This window comes from Homo sapiens, chromosome 13 (assembly GCF_000001405.40).
Source record: "Homo sapiens chromosome 13, GRCh38.p14 Primary Assembly".
Classification (NCBI taxonomy): domain Eukaryota; kingdom Metazoa; phylum Chordata; class Mammalia; order Primates; family Hominidae; genus Homo; species Homo sapiens.
The window spans coordinates 39,672,080-39,697,512 of record NC_000013.11 but is presented as its reverse complement, the minus strand read 5'-3'; the positions used below and the strand labels follow the sequence as shown (position 1 = coordinate 39,697,512).

Below are 25,433 nucleotides of genomic sequence, written 5' to 3'. Positions count from 1 at the left end.
AAAAGTTTTGCAGGAAAGGATATATAATCCAAGCATGCTCGAGTCCCTGTTTCCTGGATTCTATATCTTCCTTTTGTTAGGAGTTTTAATGTATGAGAGGTAAATTTTTTGAGATCTTGCATGCGTCCTGCTTCTTCCCCAACTTCACCACTATTCCTTCCCAGTTTTGTCGTTTCTCCTCTTCTTGACTCAAAATATTGGAGTTTCCCAGGACTCAGTCCTTAGCAACCATTCTTTATCTATACTCATTTCTTAAGTGATCTTACCTACTCCCATGGCATTGTGTCATCTGTTTTCTGAAAACTAAGACATTTTTAGCTTCAGCCCTGATTTCTCTCTGTATTATTTGATCACTCAAAATCTCCTGTATATTCACAGATACATCAAATCTGACAAGGCCAAAACTGAACGGAACTCTTCATTACCCACCACTCCCATCAACCAGTTCCTTTCCAGCATTCCCTATCTCAGCAAACAATACCATTCACCCAGCTGTTCAAACCAAAAGCCAAAAATTCATCCTTGACTCCTCATACCTCACTCTATCTAGTATGTATACATGTCCTATTGGCTGTGACATAAATTATCTCCAAAATCAACTACTGTTTACCATTTCTAAGACCATCACCCTAGTCTAAACATCATCATCTCTTCTCAGGAGCACAAACTGCTTTCTAAATATCTTCCTTATTTTCCCTTTTGTCTCACTACACTACATGATTCACAGAATATCCAGAGTAACCTTATAACACAAATCTGCTCAGGTCACTCAAAACCCTCACATTTTCCCCAATCTTATCCACTCAGTATAAAATCGAAATATCCACTATCGCCTTCAAAATCCTGTGTGAGCTGGCCTCTCTCTACCTTTCTGATTTCATCTCCCCCTACTCCTTCCAATTCACTACACTCCAATTCCTGGTTTTCTTTCTAGTCCTCCAAAATGCAAGCTTTTCCTAGCTTCAGCACCAGAGTGTATTTTTGTCCTGGACACTCTTCTCCATGATCTTTTCATGCCCAACTCCTTCATATTATTCACATCCATATTCAAATATCACCTCTATCGAATGGCCTCAAAAACAGTCACACACACATATATCTTCTCATGTATGATCACTGCCTATACTTTCTACTTCCTTTTTCCTGCTTTTTCTTCAGTACCCTTACCACTACCTAAAATTATTATTTTGTACTTGCTTGTCTCCCCTACTACAATGTAAGTTTAAGCTCTGTTTTGTTAATTACTGTTTCCTTACCACCTAGAAGAATGACAAGTATACAGTCAACTGTTTAATTGACTAAATGAGGAAATGTGTGAACAAGTAGACAAAGTACATGCAATCAATAAAAAAAGATTTTAATTGTCATCTTCAATATCATCTTCAAAGATAGAAAAATTATAATTCTCAGAGCCTAAAAAAACCTATTATCATCTTCAGAATCTGAATTATTTTATTTCCAGCATTTTCTACATTAGAAACTAAGATATCAATATCTTTAAATAATAAATTTCATGTAGTCCCATCATGGACATTATTAAATAAACAATTTTAAAAATTATTTTACCAGCATCTTTTTATAACACAGCATTTGCTATGTCTAGCTTTCAGCTGCCCTTGTGTTTTCTAAGTATTTATCATTCTCTTATTACAGGATGCTATAATATTACAACTGAAACTAATTCATTGCTTTTGAATTATGGGAATGATGACAACAAGTTTATATCTAAAATATTAAGGGACTAATCCAAATCCTATCTCTGATCAGTTTTGTAGACTATGACTTGTTAGTTTTGTTTGAAAATCTACTAGTAAGATGTGAAATCCATTCCCTAGCTGTTAAGTTCTGGGTGGCTACTCTCTGTCACTAAGGGGTAGGTGATAACCTTACCACAGTTTTTTGGTACTCTGTAAACTAGTGCTCCCTGAACCTTTCCTGGTAATGTTAGTTACATCCTTCTTAGATTTTTAACAGTTGGCCTACTATTCCTGATACTGGCATACTGCATAACAAATAACTTTTAAATAATTATTTAATGGAAAAATACAAAAACTATCAAAAATATGGCTTGGAAAGACATTGTTTTAACATAACTACATATATAACAGTCTTACAGTGAGAGTTATAATAAAACTCACGGGTATACCACCAAAACACGTAAGTAAAGCAAAAATGAATGCATATTTTGGAGTCAAAGATCACATTTTATATAAGACAAGTGGTTCCTAATCAGATAAAGTTGCTGTTATGTAGAGAAGATAAAGCTATGACTCTATTTTATCACTTATAGTAAACTAAATGCTAAAGAATTTAGGTTATTTACATCCAGAATAGAACATTTCATTCACTATGCCCTATTGTGAGTACATGGTAGGTTATTTACATCCAGAATAGAACATTTCATTCACTATGCTCTATTGTGAGTATAAGGTATAGTTGCTTTAGTTGCCTTGGATGTCTTTTACCAATGCAGGAAGACTCAATAAAGACTTACATTATAGACTTATATTGCTATATAAGGGGTGTGTGTGTGTGTGTGTGTGTGTGTGTGTGTGTGCGTGTAGTTAAGCTTGGAGAAAAAAGGAGAAAGGAAATAATAGACCTTAAGGCATAGCATGTATAATATGCATATAATGATTTACATGGTGTGGAAGTCCTACTAGTTACGCTTAGTCTATACTTAGTGTATAATTACTATACACAATATAAAAAAAAATCTTATACTGTGCTCTAACTGAAAGAAATATCACATTGGATTTAGCAAGCACATTTTGCCATTCTACTTACCTGATTGTATGGTGATAAAATTTGAGGAGATTAGAAATTTTATATAATAAAACTGCCCCAGGTTCAGCAACTATTACTTGCTCAATTCGAACCTATTAAAATATGTGAGAGGAAAGTAAACATTTCTTAAAAGTATAACTTTTTTTCATTAATAACATATGGTATGAATAGCATAACAAAGATAAAATTTTATTACTGCAGAGATCACAAAATGCCTCCTAAATAATTTCTGAGTAGTAAGTCATAGAAGATGGTAAAGTAACAAACATTTTAACAGAGATATACTCTACAAAAATCTGACCCATTATTTGCAGAATTTGGTTCAAGGCAGTTGTTACCAGAAATGTCAATACATTGAGATCATTTGAGATTTATCACCAGTATATAATGGAATTTGGTTCAATATGAAATTGAAAAGGCAACTGTTACATCCCTAAAACAGATTATCAATGAAAACATAATGCTTTATTGCTAAATATTCAAGAAAAAAATAAAATAAATTCCAGTCTATAAATTATTATATCGTTTGTCTATTAATCAAAGAATAGAAAACTAGGCAAATCTTGAATTAGCACCAACATATTTGCCAAATTATAAGACTACCAGGGAAAAATCAGATCTAGTTCAAGATTAATTTGATTTGCCTCAAGATTTAGGAAATATGAATCTTTTCTAATTAAATTCCATCCCTCACTGATCCTTCTTTTATATTATCTCATTAATGAATACAATCTAAACTACACTGATAAATGCTTACTTAAATATTGTATCTGTCCTTAAGCTACTGCTTACATTCTATCTTCTTGCTTTCCTAACTAGTTTCTAATACAAATACAGTATAGACATTATGTCTTCTGCCTATTTTACATCTCTGTAGCATCTGGTAGAACAGTATACACACAACAGATGTTTAATATATGCTTTTAAAAACTGAACTTTCTCTGTATTTAGATTTTGGCATATGTCATAAAACAAATGTGATTTGCTAAAATGAGATTTTATATCTGCATATGAAAACCTCTTAGATTACAGAAATCAATTTACCTTTACATTAATATGTTTATGAAATTGATCTGTTGGTATAGGTGATAGACTATCTAATTAACACAATACCATGGATCATGAATGGCATTTGAACTTAAAAAATATATTTTTCCATGATTTATTTTTAAATCAAGGCCTTAACAGTGACTTAAATTATACATTACATCAATAAAAGTGATATTTTCTTAATTTTAATATAATTATTACAGCAAAATATAAAAAATGTTAGTTGTAGGCAAACAGCTCTTTACTAGCAGATTTTAAACAACATCTCAGCTATCCGGCCAGCTGCCTTCCAGAATTTTGAGGCATCAAGAAAATATTCTTAGTTCTGACTCCCTTAAGAAAGAGAGAAAAGAGGGGAGAGAAAGAAAGAAAGGAAAAGCAAAGAGGGAAAGGAGGGAGAAAGGAAGAAAAAACAAAAACAATTTCCAACTCTCTCCATGAATATAAAGGTTTTGAGGGAAAGTGGCAATAAAGAATACAACAGCTACAATACAAAATACAACAGAGAAAGGCTGGAAAATCAGGAGACTGACAAATAATACACCAAGAATGCTTTGTTTGCCACACAGAAATAAACACTCTGTCTTATGAGAGCTATATAAGAGGGTAACCATTTTCAGCAAAACCCAACAGTCACAGGAGAAACAACAAAGGACAAGAGAAACGAAAAGTAAAAAGTAAAAAAAGGTCAAAGAGACTTAAAGGAGTGGTGGTAGCAGCAACTGACTGGAAATTATCACTGTGATGACAGTGGAGGGAAAAATCATTAGCAGAGCTGGAAAGCAGCAACGGGAATAATGGCTCAGATATAAAGTATGTTGGAACAGACCCTGGCACATCATAAGCACTCAATAAATCCTAACTGCATTACGAGAAGCAGCATCAACCATAAAGGCAGAGATATTAAAAGTAGCAAAATGAGCTTCAGGCACCCTGACAGCAGAGAAGGTAGGGAAGAGCTAAAAGACAGAACAGTGGCTCTCCTCTCCAAGGCCAGAGAGAAAGCTAGAGCAAAAGCGAGAGCAAGAGAAAGAGAGTGGGTTTGTGTTCATGAAGGGGACACAGGAAGAAGGGAGGACTAAAAAAGATGATGACAAACCTATTTTACCTTAATATCACAGACAGCTGCTCAGGGTAGACATCTGTTCCTATGTATACCTCAATCTGAGGGTCCAATGACTATATTGTGTACAATATTCAGCTTTATTTTCCATGTCATTGATCTTTTACATATACCTGCTTTCATAGAACCCACCATAATCTAAGGTCTGTAGCATACACTACACTAAAGTTTTTATTAAAAGAGAAAATTCAAATGATAGCTGGTAATCTCTCAGCAATCTAAAACATTCACATAAAAGAAGGATTTTATACCCATGGGCTTAAAAAAAAAATTTAATATATTAGTTCTGGTCTTTCTAGCTACAGTTTTGGAATAAAGACATGTACAAAGTAATAGGGTTGATGCTGATGAGCCACGGTACCCCCTACACAACATATGCAATCTTAAACTTAGAGCACAGATTCTTTAAACTGGCAATAGGTTTACAGATCTTATCTTAATGCATACATTTACAAATATTTAATCTACTACCTATGATGTTTCACTTTACTAAGACAAAGAAAAGATTAAACAAGGTAGAATAAATCAAATATATAGTTTCTCAAGGATTATCTCCCATTACCACTATAACCTTTTATGTTTCTAAAAATCAAAATCTCTTATTCCAAAAAAAATTCATATCTACAAAGAATAATGATGGACAGAAAAGTAGCCATAACATCCAATATCATATGTCATTAGAAAAAGTTTAGTTGCTTATCAATTAGGAAGAAGAAATTTTGTATGAGTGGGATTACAAGAGCAGATTGATCACTAGAAAATTTCAGAATTATAATTGCAAAAAAAAATAATTAAAGTCGAAATTTTTTTCCTCAACTAACAACTATCTCACTGAAAACATAAGATACTCAAATAAGGTCATACAGAAAAAAAATTCTTAAAATACTGTAACACTGTCTATCAGTATATAAGGAAGGGAAGGTATGAGAGTTGCTGGATTACATATCACTATCAAGCTAATTTGATACGTAACTATTGTGAACACCTGCTAAATATTCTCTGGATGCAATACATATTATCATCATATGGAAAGATTTGAAGTTTCTGCCATTTCAGAAAAGGAATTTTTCTTCATTTTACAACAAAAAGATGCTTGTCTGCTTACTAGTGTCTTCTTTACCTTTGGCATCTTACATTTAAATTTGCCAGCAGATCACAATAATGTCCTACAATTGCCATAAAGATCTTTCTGGGTATGTACATTAAAGGAAGATGAAGTGAGAATTTCTAAGTACATTTTAAAACAAAGGCAGACTTCAGTATATAAAGTCTTTATACAAGTGGCTGGATTAGTTTAAACATTTTTAATATAATAATTCTTACTCAAACCAGGACAGGAAACTGAAAAGTCCATTATAACCCTTAGATTCTAAAATTATAGTATTTATAAAATTACTTTTTAAAAAGAAAAGGAAAAGCATACACCTACTATGTACCCACAAAAATTAGAAAAATTGTAAAAAGAAACATAATTACATAAGCAAGGAAGGGGGGAAGGTAAGGCAGATAAAGTAAAATTTACTTATCAAAGTGACTAGGAGTTTAATTTAACTATATGAAGTTATAAAAAGGTATAAAAGCATAGCAAAATAAATTTCATTTTATTCCTCCTCTTCTTCTACCTTTCCAGTAACTGCCAGTATACAAAATAAACAACATTTATATAAGTTATATATGTCTACATCAAACTATGACAAGTAAATATTTCATTTGGGAGAAATAAGTAAAATAATTTCAAGATACTTAGCCATTTATTTACTGAATATACAGTTAGGTCCTATGAGATCAAGTTAGAGTAACAGTTAAATTTGTCAATATAATCAATTGTCACCAAGTGTGTCATCTGAGATTTCCTTGCCTGAAGCATATACCAAAAAAACAAAAACCTTAGAAATAAAATAAAATTAATTTTAAAGTTCATTTCTTGAAAAATTAATTACTAAACTTCTGGATTTCAATTTCTATGTATGAAATTAAAGTCAATCAATGAAGTTGGTTTACAAGGAAAAGTAAACCAACAATTGCCAAGTATTCTCTAAATATTAATAAAGGAAAATAAAGGTATTTACCATCTGCTAAATACTTAGTGTCATAAACTATGTACTTCATCTACACAGTCATCCTCACAACAACCCTGGATGATAGGTGTTTTAATATACAGGTCCCACCAGAGCATAATTCAGGTGCAGAAGAGTTAAGCGGATGCAATAAGTAAACACAATTAAGTGGCAATATGGGAATTCTAACTCAAATTTGATTCCAAATTCTGTTCCTTGCACTATAAACAGTATTGATGATAATACCAATACACATTATTTTATCCTTGGATTAATCATTATTTATTGCTATGACAAGCAAAAACTCTTCTATGCTTGAAGCAATCAAGTAAACAAAATATTCTTAGTAAATCTCTCTGTTAAGAGTTCATAGATTCGCTGTTTAAATTTAATAGATTTTTTTCTCAATTGAATAAGAAAAATTACTACAGGAAATATAATCTGTAAAAAATAGGTCAATATATGCAAACTACAAATATTTCCAATTTTCTTTCTCAGAGAGAAAACTGGCAATTATTATTTTAAAATGTTTCTTATTAGTCTACATTAGTGTGCTAATTTGAAAAAATTATAGATTGTATTTGAGCTGGTATCAGTTTCTTAAGTTTCTATAAATAAGGTAATAATTTAAGCAGGTACCATATAGCATATGTAAAAACAAAATATTTTACCTTTAGAGGCCTGCACACACCTTCAGTGATATGCCCAACAACTTCTTGAATATTTTCTTCAACACCTAAAATTAATGACTACATAATTAATATTTGTTTCCATATTATACTTTGCTTCATATAAGTTCAAAAAACTAACAAATAATATATAATACATATAATTAATGGCACTAATGACTTTTAAAATAACCATAACAATATTTTAGTAAGTTTGATATCTCTTGGGACATTACTAATTGTGTTAACATATTAATTGTGATAATACCTAATGTGTCTAGAAAGCCTTGTTAATTCATCTGACTTTGAGTTAATAAAATAAATATTTCTTTGTGAAAAAGATTAAAGTTATAAGACAGAGGAAAAAAAGAGGGTGAAATGTATTAATTGAATGAAGTGATGCCAAGATGTATTAGCATTTGTTTTACAAACATCTTGTTCCAGGCAGTGCTGCTTAGCACATACACTGAGGGTATAAAGATGAAAAATATACCTTGAAATCTTTCAGAAAAACTGGTATTTTCAAAACACCAACTATTTATCAAACTCTGTACTGGGTATTTGACATTTACTGCTTGTAATCACCTTCATTTTCACAGATGGAAAAACTGAGGCCCAGAAGATTGAAGTCATTCATGTAGAATAACCTACTTCAACTAACTACAGTCTATTTACTTCCTTAATACTGCCTTATACTTTTCTAAAACATCTTTAAGGAAACACATTTATTTAAACTGGGTAAGGAGAATAATAACAGAAAGAGAACCTAACGATGCACACTTTGTGCCAATCTAACATATATGCTGAGTCTAATCTTGATACTGAAGAGTTAGAAGCTATAAAGTTAGTATTACCACCAATTTGTAACACTGACTCATCTTGCAGATAATGTGAACCACAGAGATGTGTGGCTGAGCTATGTAAAATAGTCAAGTGATACCAAGCCACAGTGTCTCTCTTAACTTCCTACCAAAAATAGAACACTTTAAAATCATACACTAAACCCTCAAACTCTAAAACAGGCCTCTTTAGGTAATCACAACTAAGAAGATTTGGAATTCTGTAAACAAGACATCAGCAACTCTCAACTACAGTTATTTTTCTTCCTTGACATCAAGACAAAAATTTTAAGTACATTTAGTACATATGGTGATGTAGTTTGGATGTTTGTCCCCTCTAAATTCAAGTTGAAATGTAATCCCCAATGTCGGAGGTGGGGGCCTGTGGGAGATGTTTGGGCTATGGGAGTGCATCTCTCATGAATGGCTTGGTGCTGTCCTCACAATAGTCAGCGTTGCTTAAAAGTGTGTGGCACCTCCCCATCTCTCCCATCTCTCTGTCTTGCTCCCTCAATCACCATGTGACATGCTGGCTCTTCCCCTTTTGCCTTCCACCATGACTCTATGCTTCCTGAGGCCTTCACCAGAAGCAGATGTTGGCATCATGCTTCCTCTACTGCCTGCAGAACCGTGAGTCAAATTAAACCTCTTTATAGGTTACCAATCTTCAGGTGTTCCTTTATAGCAATGCAGAAACATACTAACAGATATGATAATTGTCTTAAAATTTTAAAACAGTGCCATGAGAATGAAAAAAGAGGCTGGGTAGCAGAAATGAAAGAATTAGTAGCTTAAAGACCTAAAACAAGTCACTCAGCCTGTTTACACACAGATAAAATTAAGATAATATCACCCTGTACCTTTAAAGTGTCATGCAGAGGATTTGAGAAAATGTATGCTAAATATTCCAGAAATTTCTTAAAAGTGACACAGAGGAGTCTAGGTTTGATATGAAAGGTCACTAGGTTTCACTATAAAACTGAACAGTTGAGTGACAGGACAAAGGTGATGGAAGAGAAAGTCTATTAGCAGAATGAGGGAGAATCTAGAGAAGAGAAAGAGTAATCAGGATGCTTATTGTACCATCAAGGTGTTTATCTAAGTGAAGAAGATGGCAACAAGAACAGAAACAGAGATGCTTGTGTTATTTTCTATATTTAGGCATTAGCAATACAATTGGTGGACCCACCTTGTGTAGTTACATGCTTTAAGAGAGCTTCAAGGTGTTCCTTTTCAGAAGCAGTAGCTTGATGGAGCCAAGCCAACATATCTCCTACATACCTAATGAAAACTAAATGTTAATGAAGATTTCCTTTGGAAAAACATCAACTCCTCTTCTGCTGTCTGATTACTATACCTCAAAGGGTCATGAGAATGCATTTCAATTGGTCTAGGTGTACCTCCGGGGCCCCCTCTTGTGAGCGCATCAATAAATCCACGAACAACTGTACTTCTTCTGGCTGTTCCAAATTCATCTAAGGTATATCTAGAAGAAACAAGTTATATAAAAAATGGTTGGGGTTGTTTCTAGTGGCTATATCAGACTATTCACGCAATTTCTGAGACAACCAAGTACTTAAAAAGCACTTAAAGCTCCTTTAGATATTCGGTCAAGCAACATTGCTTTCAAACAAGAAAAAAATATTTAAGAGATAACTTCAGCTCATTGAAAATTCAATCAAAAAGTAAAAACTTTTACCCCTCCTAAGAAACAATGCTGGGATTTGGGACTAAAGCAGAGGCAGCAGTAATAAGGGATAAAGCAATGGACTTAGTAAAAGTAGGAAAATCAAGCCAAGGTGGGAAGACTTAACTTTTTAGGTTTCAGTATATTCACTATACTAGGTTTCGGTATATTTCAGTATACATATTTGCAGTCTAAAACATGATGCTCTACTGTTTTACGTAAAGCCATAACAGTTCTCAAAAACTGATTATAATTAGAACTCTGCAAATCCAAGGCTGGGTGCGGTGGTTCACACCTGCAATCCTAGCACTTTAGGAGGCCGAGGAAGGTGGTCACTGGAGCCCAGGAGTTTGAGACCAGCCTGGGCAAAATAATGAAACCCTTTCTCATTATTAAAAAAAAAAAATAGCCAGGCATGGTGGTGCATGCCTATAGTCCCAGCTACTCGGAAGGCTGAGGTAGGGGGATCACTTGAGCCCGTGAGGTTCAGGCTGCAGTTAGCAGTGACTGCTCCACTATACTCCAGCCTGAGCCACAGAGCAAGACCCTGTCTCAGAAAAAATAAAAGAATTCTGCAATCCCAAAATTGACATTTTTCTCTTCTACATTAAAAAAGTCTTCTTTACACATACTATCACAATCTATCACCAAAATTTGCTCCAAAAATTGCTATCCATCTTTAAAAGCTTATTTTGACTCCAATATTAGACATAACAGATGTTCCTTAAATTTACTGACCAAACACATATACAAGCAAATACCTTTTTAAAAAACATGTATTAAGAAGTCACCTATTATAATTGAAAAGGCATGGAAAGGCTTTCTAAGGTGAAGGAACTGGTAGGGAAGGAAAGCTTTTAACTGGGGAATAGGACAATTTGGGATTCAATTTATAAAAATGGCCTGGAGCTCTCTGGAGTGCCCATTTCTTTGACTTGACTCAGCCTTGTTTTCCATTATCACCACCATTCCTGACATCCATCCCTCAATTGAAAGTTCTTTCCATTTTAAAAGTATAAAGAAAAACAAAATATATTTTAGCAGTCTTGATGTCAGCAGATTCTAGACTAACTTTTAAATCTCTAAACAGTATTCTACCATACTAAATTTTAAGAATTATGTCAATAACCTATATATAAACAAAAATTACCAAAACTTCCCAAGATACCCAAAATAATTAATATCTTAGGCTACATAGCTTTCTTTCATATGCTGTTAATTGGATGAAAAATCCACATTTTGGTAAACATGTGAAAGACGGTTTATTTCCAAATCAAAGAGAAAGTCTGTAGAACTGGCAAATAGCTATAAATATTTAGGAATATGAACCTTTTTTGAGGACTGTTTACTATTAACCAGACTATGGTTCTTTGTGGGTTTGTCTTCCATTAAAAAGAAATGGTTTTGAGATTCCCTGTGGTGACATACTACAGAAAAGGGGAAGTGCAATATCCAGCTAAGTTTTGCTAAATTGCATAATTGCCTTGCATTTACTATTTTTTAAACAAATTAGAACCAAAATGCTCATTGCTATTTTTTCCCTCATGCTCTTAAATTATTAATCCATTTAGTGTGAAGAATGCCTTCTTTTAAATGATCACCTGATTCTCTGAAATAATGAACTTATGACTGCTTATCACAGCATAAAATTCACAAACGTTTAACTTTTTAAGTATATATAGCTAATCCTCATTCCCAAGACCCTACTAACTATATTAAAAATAAACAGCATAATTTGTTTCTAGGACTGTCCACTGGGACGACAGCTGTAACAGAATCCAGTGAATCTTAAAATCCAGTGTATTTTAAATAGGGGGTAAATTACCAAGCCTGGCAAACACTGGAATTTCATCTGTTCAATACTATAAAATATCAATAAACATTAATATTAATGTCAATCCTCCTATAGAACAAATATAATTTAAAGCAAAAACAGCATAAGCCACGTGAACCTTCAATATCTTTAGACATGAAACATCCTTCCCAGAGACAGAAGAAAAAGTCTTTGACCAAAATCAGACATTCTTCCAACAATAATCAAAAATCAAAATGGAGCTTTTTCAGAGTGAATGTTCAAATTATGTAAATATTCTCAAATACCTCAAGTTAAAATTAAAAGTCTCATTTTAAAAATTGTGTTTAGCTACAGTTAAAGAAATTCTGGTCAAAAAGCAAATTAAAAGAAGAAAAATTTTTATCAAAAAGCAAATTAAAAGATAATAGTAAAGAAGTGCCTCTTTGAAACACAACAAATACATAAAGAAGGAAGAAAAATCAGCATTGTATGTATTACTACATTTTAAAATAACTTATATTCTAAAGGCTTACCAAAGAAAATAAATTATCAAATTTTTTCACTTCATTTATAATTGTACATGATTTATTATTAAAAGTCAATAATGCATTAGCATTCCAGTTATACACCACATAAGAAACACTGAGTATGGCAACTTTCCCCACGGATTTCAATAATTGACATTTTTCTTGTATATAATACTTACATTATTTGAGACACAATAATGGACAGTGAAACTTTTATACATTACTTATTAAGTTCATATAGTGCCATCTGGTGGTTAACATGATACATTATTAAGTTTTCCCTAAATGTAAGGAAACTACCACTTTGAAAATAATTACTTAATGAAAGGCCAATTTTCTCTTTTTTAGCATTCATCTTGTTCTAATCATCTGGTCTTAAAAACTTACTTTCCTACTCAACTTCTAAATGTGTCTTAAAATCTTCCAAATTGGCCAGGCGCGGTGGCTCACGCCTGTAATCCCAGCACTTTGGGAGGCCGAGGCGGGTGGATCACGAGGTCAGGAGATCGAGACCATCCTGGCTAACACGGTGAAACCCCGTCTCTACTAAAAAATACAAAAAATTAGCCGGGCGAGGTGGCGGGCGCCTGTAGTCCCAGCTACTCGGGAGGCTGAGGCAGGAGAATGGCGTGAACCCCAGGGGGCGGAGCCTGCAGTGAGCCGAGATTGCGTCACTGCACTCCAGCCTGGGCGACAGCTAGACTCCGTCTCAAAAAAAAAAAAAAAAAAAAAAAAATCTTCCAAATTGCCATTACTGCCCCCTGCTTCTTAGCATATGCCCTTCACAGATAAACCTTCTTTGCCTATTATAGTTCCATTCTTTATCTTTCAAGCTTTTTCCCAGATTGCCATGTAGCCCTCAGATACATCCCTCCTTAGTTGAAAACTTTCTAGTCATCTCCTCTCAAAATAAAAATAATATCTAAAATTTAGTGATGTACCAAGCATTACACTAAGTGCCTTAAGTGAACAATCTAACTTAATCTTCACATCAACCCTGTAAAATAGGCACTATTATTATCCTCATTTTACAGCTAAGGAAACAAGCTTATAAAGGTACACGGACTTCTCAAAGAAATTTGACTCAAGAACCCACCTTATAGCCATTTAATATTGCTCCTTTCCAAGTTTTGATAAAGAACTATAACTCAGTGAAAATTTATTTGCATGGCAGAAGTCAGCTGTTGAAAACAAACAAAGGTGCCCAAAACACAGAAAGGCTTTTTTTTTTTAATACATAAAAGATTAACCTTGTGAATAAATATTAATCTGTAGACAATGCAACAGCTGTTAAAATCAAACGCCAAATGTTTTAAGTGCTAAAAGACTCATAATTAATGTCAATATGTTAAAGTGAAAAAGTTGGGAAAGAAATTTTAAAGCAGGAATAAACTGTTAAGCTGCTGATCAATGGTAAACATTAACTTATCTTATGTATATGCACAACATTCAGGGCTATTATGATCCAGCTGTTGCTCCTAATTCAATAGCCAGTGCAAGCTTTTACAATTAATTTCCCAAAGGTGCATTATCTCTCAATGTATATCTTTGCATTACTGTTCCCTCAACCTGCAAACTGTTCTTCCTTTACTTCTAGGAAAATGCCTATTCAGCCTTCAGAACTCACTTTATACCTAATTCCTTAGGAAACTTTCACTGATGCTCATCTCTTTCCCCTACACCAGAATACTTGAGCCACACAGCATCTGGCACATGACTTCTAGACTATCAATTAGTGTATTCAATTAAAATGCGTTTGTTTATCTCTGGTTCCATAAAATAAAGCAGTTTGAGGGCAGTGCTTTACTGACGTTGTGTTTCTAGAATTTAAAATGGTGCTTAACACATAGTACTCAGTAAGTAACACTGGGGTGTTATTATTTTACACAGCTGTTCAGCATTTGTGTTCTGTGACCTGATGATAGGATAAGTAGTGTTCCAATCAGAAAGTAATGGGGAGGTCCTCTAAAAATAGTATAAACAGATTCTGAAAGGGATGATTCAAAGCAGGATGCACTACCTTGGTAAGAGTCCCCTCGTTTCCTGTTTTCAGAATTATTAATATCATCAACCCCTACATCTACCTAAAGCTTATGCTAATACTACTCCAGGCATTAAAGAAAGTATTTACCTTTTATTTTATAAAAATTAAAAGAATAAAATTAAAATATAAAATAATAAAAAACATATCAACAAATACAAAATGCATTAAATTCTTATCCAAAACATTACCACATAGCTCTTGTTTGGCATCAATTACAGGATCAAAGACCTGGGCCCTCTCCTCCTAAATCCTATTAACAGATTACCTTGATATTAAATATTCTTTTTTCATCTCTGCATAACCATATTTCTCAGTACTGATATGACTTCAGTCTCTGTAGGGAAGTATTCATACAGGAGTTTTAGTTACTTACAATTCTAAGGGAGTTAATGAGACGACAGGGGAAAAGTCACTGAACCTCTATATAAGTAAGAGGTAGTCTAGATACAGAGACACTTTGGTTTCTCTTTCCATATTGTATTCTATAGTATGTAAAATTCAAATAAGCTGATACCCCATGAAACAAATTCAAGTTAAGGTGAACAGTATTGTTGTAAATTATTATAAATATTACTCAAACTATTATATACGCTTTTGATAATACTAAAATTTAAAGTAAGATATCAAAAGAAAAGTAGGCTTTCATTTTTAATTAAGAAAAAGTCACCAACTTATATAAGACAGGTCTGTCCTGCAGGGCTTCCATTGCCTGTGTCAATACTGGAGATACGTCACATGATTCTTGTGTCAATGTTCTGCATTCACCTGAAAAATAATTAACATTATAACTTTTGTTAAATTCAGCTTAGATGTTTATTATGTCTGTTGCATTCCAGGAGTCTAAATTCTATGGCAAACACCCCATAAAAAAAAATCCTCAGAAAAACCTAGAGAATACACCAATCAAAAATGAATTTATGCTGTCAACCAAACTAAAAAGTTAAGCTTAAGTAGTTATATAACTTTAAATGACCACATATGCTATCAGGTATGCCCCAAAGCTGTATTTTATTATTATAAAACACTATAGAGTCCTGAAGAAACCAACCAGTGAACAAGTATTTCCTAATAACTGCCATATACATGACAGTATTAGGGAGGCAGGGAGGAGTACTAAAAAGATATTATCAGTTCCTTCGCTGGGAAGCAATCTTTAAACAGTTTGCTAAAATTGTTAATGTGGTTAACTAATATATAGTGATATAATTTCAAAAGAGTTTGAATTTTAAACTCTTAAAAATTTCTACACCAACTTTTCTTTATTATTCTAATTTTATCTATAAAATGCTCACAAGTGCCTAGTATATTCAAAGAATTTAGAACTTCTCAGAAATTCCCAACCTTTGGTACACAAGGACTTCACACTAGCAGTATACTTTCTAGCATGCACTGACTGAAAACAAAATATGCATAGAGAATTGAAGACACCTTAAAATGACTTCATAGTCTCCACAAGACAGAGCCCACAGTTGGGAACCACTATGTAAGATGTTGCGGGAGCACAAAAAAATTTGAGTCAATGTCCATGCCTTTGAGGAAGTAGAAAACTAGTGAGATAAGACATACATGAAAAAAATACAATGAGATGCAATGAGAGAAAGGCAGACAACACTCCAGATGGAAGCAAACAATGTAAAGAAGGAGAGAGGTAGAAAAACAAACAGGTTTTAGAGATAAAGACTTAACCAACCAGATCAGAGAATTCCATTTGCGCAGCATAGTACAGGAGTAGCTGGTTAACCAAATTTAATTCCAACCCCTTCCAACAGTCAGTTGGTAACACCTATTAAAATATGTGCTCCTGTTCCATGCTTGCTTGTTTTAAATATCTTCTCTGGTTTTAACAGGCTATTCTGCAAAAAATCTATTGAAACATTTTCAAACAAAACTAAAGCAAATAAAGCATTCCTGGTAGGCAAAATAATGGCCCTCCAAAGATGTCTGCATCCTAATCCCTGGAAACTGTGAATATGTTACCTTACATGGCAAAAGGGACTTTGTAAATGAAATTAAGGCAGTAGACCTCAAAATGGAGAGATTTTCTCAGATTACCCAAGTGGGTCCAAGGTAATCACACAGGCCTCACAATGGAAGTGGCTGGCAGAAAAGTTAGAGATATGAGATAGAAGATGAGGCAGGGTAGAATCAACATGAGAAAATGACCTGACATTGCTGGCTTGGAAGATGGAGGAAGGGGCCGCAAGCCGAAGAATGCAGGCAGCCTCTAGAAACTGGGAAAAACCCTCAGTGACAGCCAGCAAGGAAACACAGACCTCAGTGCTGCAAACACAAGGAACTGAATTCTGCCAACTAACTGAATGAGCAAGGAAACATTATCCCTTAAAGCCTACAGAAACAAATGCAGGTCTACCAACATTTAGATTTTAGCATAGTGAGAACCACATCTGATTTCTGACCTACAGAAGTGTAAGGCAACAAATATGTGTTGTTTTAAGCCACTCAGTTTGTAATAATTTGTTACAGCAACAGCAGAAAATCAGTTTACCACTTACAACTTTACAGTTATGTAAACAACAAGAGATACCTAATCTGCTTTAAAATAATCTAGGGCAGAAACTGTCTTCATTGTTTTATTCTCACACTTAATCAAGCATACTGCTTGGCTGATAGCTGGTGCTCATGATACAAACACAAAAAACAGTGTGCTCAAATGTGAAGTTTGTTTTTCTTTTTTAAAATATTTTTGATTACTAAATCAAAATGCATCAAAGACCAAGTAAAAATTTAAAAACCAAATACAAATACTATTTTTATTTTTAAAAAATGTTTGATTACTAAAATCAAAATATATCAAATAAAGACCAAGTAAAATTTTAAAAAACAACTACAAATGTTCATGAATCTAGACAACATAAAAGAAATCACTTACTTTGAGCCCATCGGTAAAGTCTTTCATAAGCCGTTTCTTGAAGTAAGGCCATCTGTTCCATAATTTCTAAACTAAAAAAAAATTAATGATTATAATTTAAACTTTAGTCAACAGATACATCTAAGCACCTAATTATTTTGTTTGCATATTACATATTACAGCATATTAACTTTTTATCATTTTATGGGATGATTTTTCAATAATTTTCTACAATTAAATAAATGTCACATTTTAACCATCACTTATTTATCAACTGCTGTTTTAGCCTAAACCTGTCAGAGTATAACTTCACCATTCTCTAAAGATAAATAAAGATTAAACTTCTATTTCACAAAATGCTATATAGTTCACAAACAATCTAGAATATCTTTAAAATTTTGGAAACATAAGCAGCAATGCAATTAGTTCAGTGAGCAGTTACTCACCCTGCCGTTTGTTGATTTGTACGCAAGAGAACTTTGACATCATTATGAATCTGTTTTACTCTTCCCAGTGCCTTGAAAAAATCCTTTAAAATTAAGAATGTGACTTTATGTCCATGCTTCAGGCAAAATTGCATTATTTAAAACTGAAAGGTCACTACCAAGGGCAAACAAACTCTTTCACCTATTTTAGGGAAGCCTTCCTATACTGATCTCAACTTTCTCTAAGTTTTCATAGACGGTGTAACTGGTATTTATTCACATTTTAAGACATATTAATATATTAATTCAGTTTCTACTATGTGCCAAATAGTGTTGACAGTTGCCAGGAAAATAAAATTTATAAAGACAAAAATCCCTGTCCTCAAGAAGTGTACGTAGTCTAGTGAGAAATGCAAAACTAAAAATTACTACATGAAAAAAAGTATTGTGTATTACACACCTTATTACTTAAGCCTGGCATTCTTATTGCTGAAGATGATGTTTTATGTATCTGTTGTATACTCATTATTGCTCCCTCGTCCAAGAGTAGAATGCAAAGTTAAATATATAGGAGGTGACAGATGCCAAACTGTTGATTGATATTTAAATGTACTGGAGGCTTAGGTTTCAGAGTGCCACAAATAGTGTTCCACCCACGAAAAATAACGGATGTGTTATTTTTCTTTGATGAATAAAACTTAAAATAATAATAATAATAATAACCCTCATTTTCTAATTTCTACCAAGGGGAGAAAAAATGATATGTCAAATATTTCATATGTGCAAAGTTCCTCAAAACATGAGGGCAGTACATACTAATACATAATATCTCTATTAATTCTCTCACCTATTTACCTCTCTACACCCAAATGACTGGTTCCATTTTAGCCAAGCCAGTAAAAGTGATACCTACTCAGAGACACTCAGTGAGAACCCTTCCCCACCTCAAGAACCCTTCTTGCCCTCTGATCCCACAATGATGACGATAGGCTTAAGTTTACAGTTCTTCCCAGCGAGAAGACCAAAAGATTCCTTTCTGGAAAAATTGAATGTCTTCAAGGAAAAAAAAAGAAACGAAACTTTTTCTTGTTATTTAACATTTTGAGAGGTTATATAATTCTGTCAGCCAGTTTGGAAAAAATGGAATAGCTTAAAAAATTAATTAGATGAAAAAACAAGTGATTTCTAACCCAAGGAAAGACACAAAGTTATAAAAGAAAGAACATGCAATCACTGTAATGTCACTGTAATGAAAATGAAAAATGTGTGGGTAGGTACTATGGCTCAGACCTATAGTCCCAGCACTTTGGGAGGCCGAGGTAGGCACATCGCTTGAGCTCAGGAGTTTAAGACCAGCCTGGGCAACACAGTGAGATCCTATCTCTACTAAAAATTAAAATTAAAAAATCAGCCAGGAGTGGTGGTGCATGCCTGGATACCCTAGCTACCTGGGAGGCTGAGATGAGAGGATCACTTGAGCCTGGGAGGTTGAGGCTGCAGTGAGCTGTGTTCGTGCTACTGCACTCCAGCCAGGTTGACAGAGCGAGACCCTGTCTCAAAAAAAAAGGAAAAGAAAATAGAAAATGTGGTCTAACTGTACTATGATGTATGAAGGAGATAAAGAGAACATATGTGTGTACTATCTGTGTTGGGGGAGGAGACAGAGTGGGTAGAAGGCTAAATCCTCACATTTCACAATAGAGAATCAATAGAAAATAGTTAACATAGATAATCAAAGCATATTCTTTTTAACTATAGATCTAGAATATAGAATTTACAAAAGAAGCAATTAATAACATTGAAAATGGTTGACAAAAGACCTAGAGGTGAGGAAGAGTAAAATAGGTGACATAGATTTTCTTTTTATAACTTTGACTCTTTTTAAAAAGTACATGTATTACTTTGAAAAATATAATTAAAATACACATCTTAAATTTCCAAACATAAAAATATTCTCAGATGAAACTTTTTTTAATGGGAAAATAAAGCTTCAAAAAAGCAATTTCTCTCTAATATCTGTAACTACTAAACTTTAAATGATTATAACAGAAAGCCAGGATACCTCAGTAATGGGTCCTTCTCTTGTACCTCGGAGAAGACTCATTTCATCAGAAGTCAGTTGGAACTTGGATAAGAAGGCATCTGCAACTTGAGCTCTTATCTCTAATTTTTGGCTGTAATTTTCAAAACAAGCAATAAAAATCAAGCATCTTACACAGTTGCATAGCTTTAAAACAAATTCTATCTCAGACATAATAAATTTTTAAAACAAAGGTATGAAAAGTTCTCAATATTTTCAAAAGTCTTGTTTCTGCCTCAAATATTAGAATTTTATCAGACATGTAGGTGATAAAATTAGCTAATATTGTTCTATTTCAGATACTTGCACACAATAAATGGAGTTGATCATTACGCAAAAGAACAAATAAGTCCATGCATGGTCCCTGCATTACAAATTTGCAGCCACTTACAAGTACTTAAATAGTTCACCTTGCAGTTTGCTAGATGCTTTTATAAGAGAGAAATATGTTCCTGTTTTCAACCAATTTCTTTTCAGTCACTAAAACAATTCCTAAGCCTTTTAAGTTTTCACATGACGTACATATCAAAAATCAAATTTATTAGTTTATTTTATGTTATAGAAGAACTCCTTTATTAATTCTCCATAAATTGCTAGTCACTTATCCACTTTGGTCTTCCCCACTTTTTCTACAAAATATAGTAATAAAAACAACCTTTTAAATTATATGAGTGCAACCTATCTAAACTAGCTGACGGAAAAAGGCACACTCAAGGACCTATGGGACTGAGAAGAATCAATACCCACAGGCAAGTTAGGAACACAAACTACTTGAACAGAAACTCAACATTCCTGGTTTCTGTATCTCAGAACTGAAAATATATAAATAAAGTTATAAAAGTATTTCACTAGCAATATTCAGAGAATAGTAATATTCCACAATTAAACAAAATTCAAATAAGAATGAACAAAGATAAACATAAACACTATTTGTATAGATGGTACAATGCATCTGCCACCTCTGTTTTATTTGCACCTTTGGGATGGAGGTTTTAAATTCAAAGTTGAATGCTAATGCTCCTACTGAATAAAGAAATTTACAAGCAAAAATCCTCCAGGTGGCAGCAAAGATCTGTTTATTTCAAATGATAAATCACCTAATTGAATATACACAGATTTAAATGTCATGTTCTTAATCATCTTATTATTGATATCTAAAAGTTATCTTAATATTTATCTTATTTTTGCTTTGTTGCCTGTGCTTTTGAGGTCTTATTCAAAAAATTCTTGCCCAGTCCAATTTCATGAAACAATTCTCCTATTTTTTTTCTGGTAGTTATACAACTTGGGGTCGTATAGTTTACTCTTTAATCCATTTAGAGTTTATTTTTATGTATGGTGAGAGATCATGGTTATCAGAGGTTGGGGAAGATAGTGGGGAGAAGGGGACAGGAAGAGATTGGTCAACGAGTACAAAGTTACAGTTAGGAAGAGTAAGTTCTACTGTTCTATTACAAACTAGGGTGACTACAGCAAATAACAATGCAGTGGTATTTCAAGATAGCGAAGAGTTTGAATATTGTCACCACAAAGAAATGATAAATGTTTAAAGTGATAGATATGGTAATTACCTTGAAACATTACATTGTACCCCATAAATATATATAATCATTATATGTCAATTATAAATTAAAAATGAATTTTTAAAAGCTTAAAGAGTTACCTTAACAGGTTTTGTTTTATATTTTTAAAAGTTCCAGTCATTATCATTAAGAATTTAAAGTAATTATAAAATTTCATCAAATTCCTTGAGACTATGCAAATTAACCATGTGAAATAAAATGTTTTTGGGAGCTTTTTTGGATCTATCTTTAGAATCAATTTATTAGGCACAAAGGAAAATTTGTCTCTTTAGTTTATAGTTTCATTTTGTTGTAACCAAAACAAATGCTACCCACCTTGATCATACCCCTTAATCATTACAATTCATTCCAAATAATGTGGATCTAAAAATCAATCATGAGATAAAGACAGAAACACAGGCTCTATATATAGCTACAAAAGAGATGGTGCAAAAATATTTTTATAATGGGCACAGTACTAAAACAAGAGTTTAATATATCAAGATGGTAACTTTAAAAGTAGTGACAATAAATTCTAATATATTTTTTATTATCATATTACTCTAGTTTTACCACATGTATTCTTTCCAGGTAAATTTTCACAACCATTCTGACAGGAAGTTATTGTTAGATGGTCCAGTGATTTGGTTTGGGAATATTCACTCATTCAAATAACATTATTGGAGACTCACAATGTATAAGGCCTATGCCAGAGACGAGTGTGATAAAAGGCACTTATGACACAGACCTTGTCCTTACTTTACATCAACATATGGAACTTTTAGAGGGCTTTCAATGTCTAAGTAAAAAGTATAGGAGATAAATATTAACATAACATATAAATTATAACTTCTAGCGTATTTAAGATTATGTTTGTGCAATCACTGTATATTATATAAATAAATAATAATATGTGAAATATACACTATGGAAAAATACATAATAGATCAAACTGAGGTAGATCTATATGTACTAACAAAATGATCCATAAGGCATTTTATAGGTATAAAAAGTTGCGAGAAAGTATGTATAGGAATCCCCACTTATTTTTAAGAAGTAATTACAATGGTCCCCCCTTATCCTCGGGGGATATAGTCCAAGACCCTCCAGTGGATGCCTGAAACTGCTGACGGTACCAAATCCTACACGTACTGTTTTTCAATCTGATAACTGAGACGGCTACTAAGTGACTACTGAGTGGTGGTGTATATAGCATCACACATTAGAAAAAGGGATGACTGATGTCCCACCAAAGTGGGAGCCAACCACTTGAGATTTCATCATGCTACTCAAAATGGTACATAATTTAAAGCTTACAAATTGCTTATTTCTGAAATTCTCCATTTATTACTTTCAGACTGCAGTTGACCATAAGTAATGGAAACCACACAAAGCAAAACCATAGACAAGGTTGGGAATTACTGTATATAAACACATGTACATCAATTTTCAGTATGTCCAGTCGTATACTGCCTAAGTATTTAAAATAAACGGACTACTTAATTTTCATGATTCCTTCAAATCAGCCCAGAACATGATTTATGAATCCTGTGGTACTTTTCTTTTTCTTGAAAACTTATCTCTGTCGTATCTTAATTCTACCTCTAGGTTCACCTACACCAAATAATTTCGAAATAATTTTTTAAATGGACATAAGATATAAACCAAAACAAAAAAAGTAAAGAAATATAAATGGCAAAACAAAATGAGAAACATGTCGATTCATCACTATTCGATGATATGTAAATTAAATGGTGTGATACCGGGGCCTGTCGTGGGGTAGGGGGAGGGGGGAGGGATAGCATTTGGAGATATACCTAATGTAAATGACGAGTTAATGGGTGCAGCACACCAACATGGCACGTGTATACATATGTAACAAACCTGCACGTTGTACACATGTACCCTAGAACTTAAAGTATAATTTAAAAAAAATTAAAAATAAAAATAAAAAATAAAATGGTGTGATAATATTTTTCATCTACATTGGCAAAGTTTTTAAAGATGATATCTAATGCTGATAAGGGTTTAATAAAATAGACAGAATGGAAGTAGAAATTGTGATAATCTTTTTTGAGAAAAATTTAGGCATTATATTTCAGGACACTTCCAAAAATGATCCTCTTGATATAAAAAATCATAGGAAAATGAACATAAAATATTAAGGGAAAAAAGTAAAATATTAACAATACACACACATACTCACTCTGGAAGGAAATATACCAAAATATTAATTGTGGTTCTATCTGAGTGGTAGAGTTATATATGATTTTAGTTTTCCTTAAATTTTATACAATAGATTTATATTAACATTATGTCAAAAAAATTTAAGAAAGAAAAGGCAGTTTTTTACACTTAAAAGATTCCTTTTACCTAATTCATATGATGGAAAGATAAGTGAAATAACCTGTTTGACAGGATCTTAAAGAATCTGCTTATCATTTACAATCCTTAAGAAAAAGTATTTCTATAATTTTTTTTGGTTCTAAAATAGAAAAAAAGAAGAAACTTTTCATTTTAAGTTTTTATAAAGTATCAAACTGAAAGTTAAACGTTTTTGAAAGACTGGTTAAAACTCAATAGAGATAAAATCCTGTAATGAGGTTGTTTTCTTGTCAGCATTTCCAGTACCATGCCATGATTTCAAAACCTGATAAATTTCTAAATTTTTATCTTAGTATTTTAAAACAAATAGATAAAATAACTTCAATACAAAAATACATTGAAAAATAAAGCACATACAAATGACAAAAAAGATAAAACGAGCTACATCAAAATTTAAAATGTGCTATAAATGATATCACGAATGTGAAGATAACCCAAAAAATGGGAGAAAATGGCTGCAAATAATGTATCTGTTAACAAACCTATATCCAGAACATATAAAGAACTTTTACAACCAATAAATAAAAACACAAATAACCTAAATTAAAAAATGGGTAAAGGACGTAAATAGACATTTCTCCAAAGAAAATATGCAAATACCAATAAGCAAAAAAAAGATGCTTGACATCATTAGTCATTAGGAAAATGCAAATCTAAACCACAATGAGTAGTACTTCACACCCAGTAGCATGGCTATCATCAAAATGACAGATTAAAAACAAAGATGTACAGAAACTGGAATCCTCATATGCTGCTTTTGGAAATGTAAAACTGTGCAGCTTCTTCGGAAAACAGTGTGGCAGTTCCTCAAACACTTAAAGAGTTATCATATATGATTCAGCAATTCTACCCCTAAATATATACCTAAGAGGAATAAAACATGCCCACACAAAAACTTGTAAACAAATATTTACAGCCAGCATTATTTGCAATAGTCAAATAGTGGAAATAACCCAAATGTCTATCAACTAGTGAGCGGGTGAACAAAATGTGGTGTTGCTATACAATGGAATACTATTCAGCCATAAAAAAGGTTAAAGTAACATGGATGAATCTTAAAAGTGTTTATCTATGTGGAAAAAGCTAGTCAAAAAGGGCCACATACTGTATGATCTTATTTGCATGAAAGATTCAGAATAGGCAAATTTAGAGAGGCAGAAAGTAGGTTAATGGTTCACTAAGGCTGGATAACTACTAATGGTCAGGAGTTTTCTTTCTGGGATGGTGAAAATGTTGTAATTCAGATCATAATGATGATTGCACAACTCTGAATATACTAAAACCAATAAACTATATACTTTAATTTTATGATATGTGAATTATATCTCAACAAAGATGTTTTTATAATAAACAAAAAAGGATCTACCTTTTGAATTACAATTACATGTATTATTATAACTGTACAAAATACAGCTTAAAAGGCATCTAATACATTCTTCCAGCTTGATACTTTCCACTCCTTAATAACATTTAGTTAAGTATATATGCACACTTGCTATTACTCTTATAAAGTAAGAGTCTCAAATATTAACAGG

General features: G+C 32.9%; 1 protein-coding gene across 4 annotated transcripts in view; it reads right to left on the bottom strand.

Moving 5' to 3' along the window:
• Positions 1 to 25,433, bottom strand: part of COG6 (component of oligomeric golgi complex 6) — a 136,040-nt gene that overhangs the window by 94,154 nt on the left and 16,453 nt on the right. For all 4 annotated transcript variants that reach the window (NR_026745.1, NM_001145079.2, XM_011535168.2 and 1 more), the window contains 8 exons: positions 19,934 to 20,045; positions 17,893 to 17,975; positions 17,468 to 17,538; positions 15,249 to 15,342; positions 9,882 to 10,010; positions 9,714 to 9,805; positions 7,689 to 7,753; positions 2,788 to 2,879 (listed from right to left, as the gene is read on the bottom strand). Coding sequence is in view for 3 of the 4 variants with exons in the window: in NM_001145079.2 (NP_001138551.1) it covers positions 2,788 to 2,879; positions 7,689 to 7,753; positions 9,714 to 9,805; positions 9,882 to 10,010; positions 15,249 to 15,342; positions 17,468 to 17,538; positions 17,893 to 17,975; positions 19,934 to 20,045 (738 nt within the window). In the remaining variant the exon portion in view is untranslated. The remainder of the gene's footprint in view (positions 1 to 2,787; positions 2,880 to 7,688; positions 7,754 to 9,713; positions 9,806 to 9,881; positions 10,011 to 15,248; positions 15,343 to 17,467; positions 17,539 to 17,892; positions 17,976 to 19,933; positions 20,046 to 25,433) is intronic.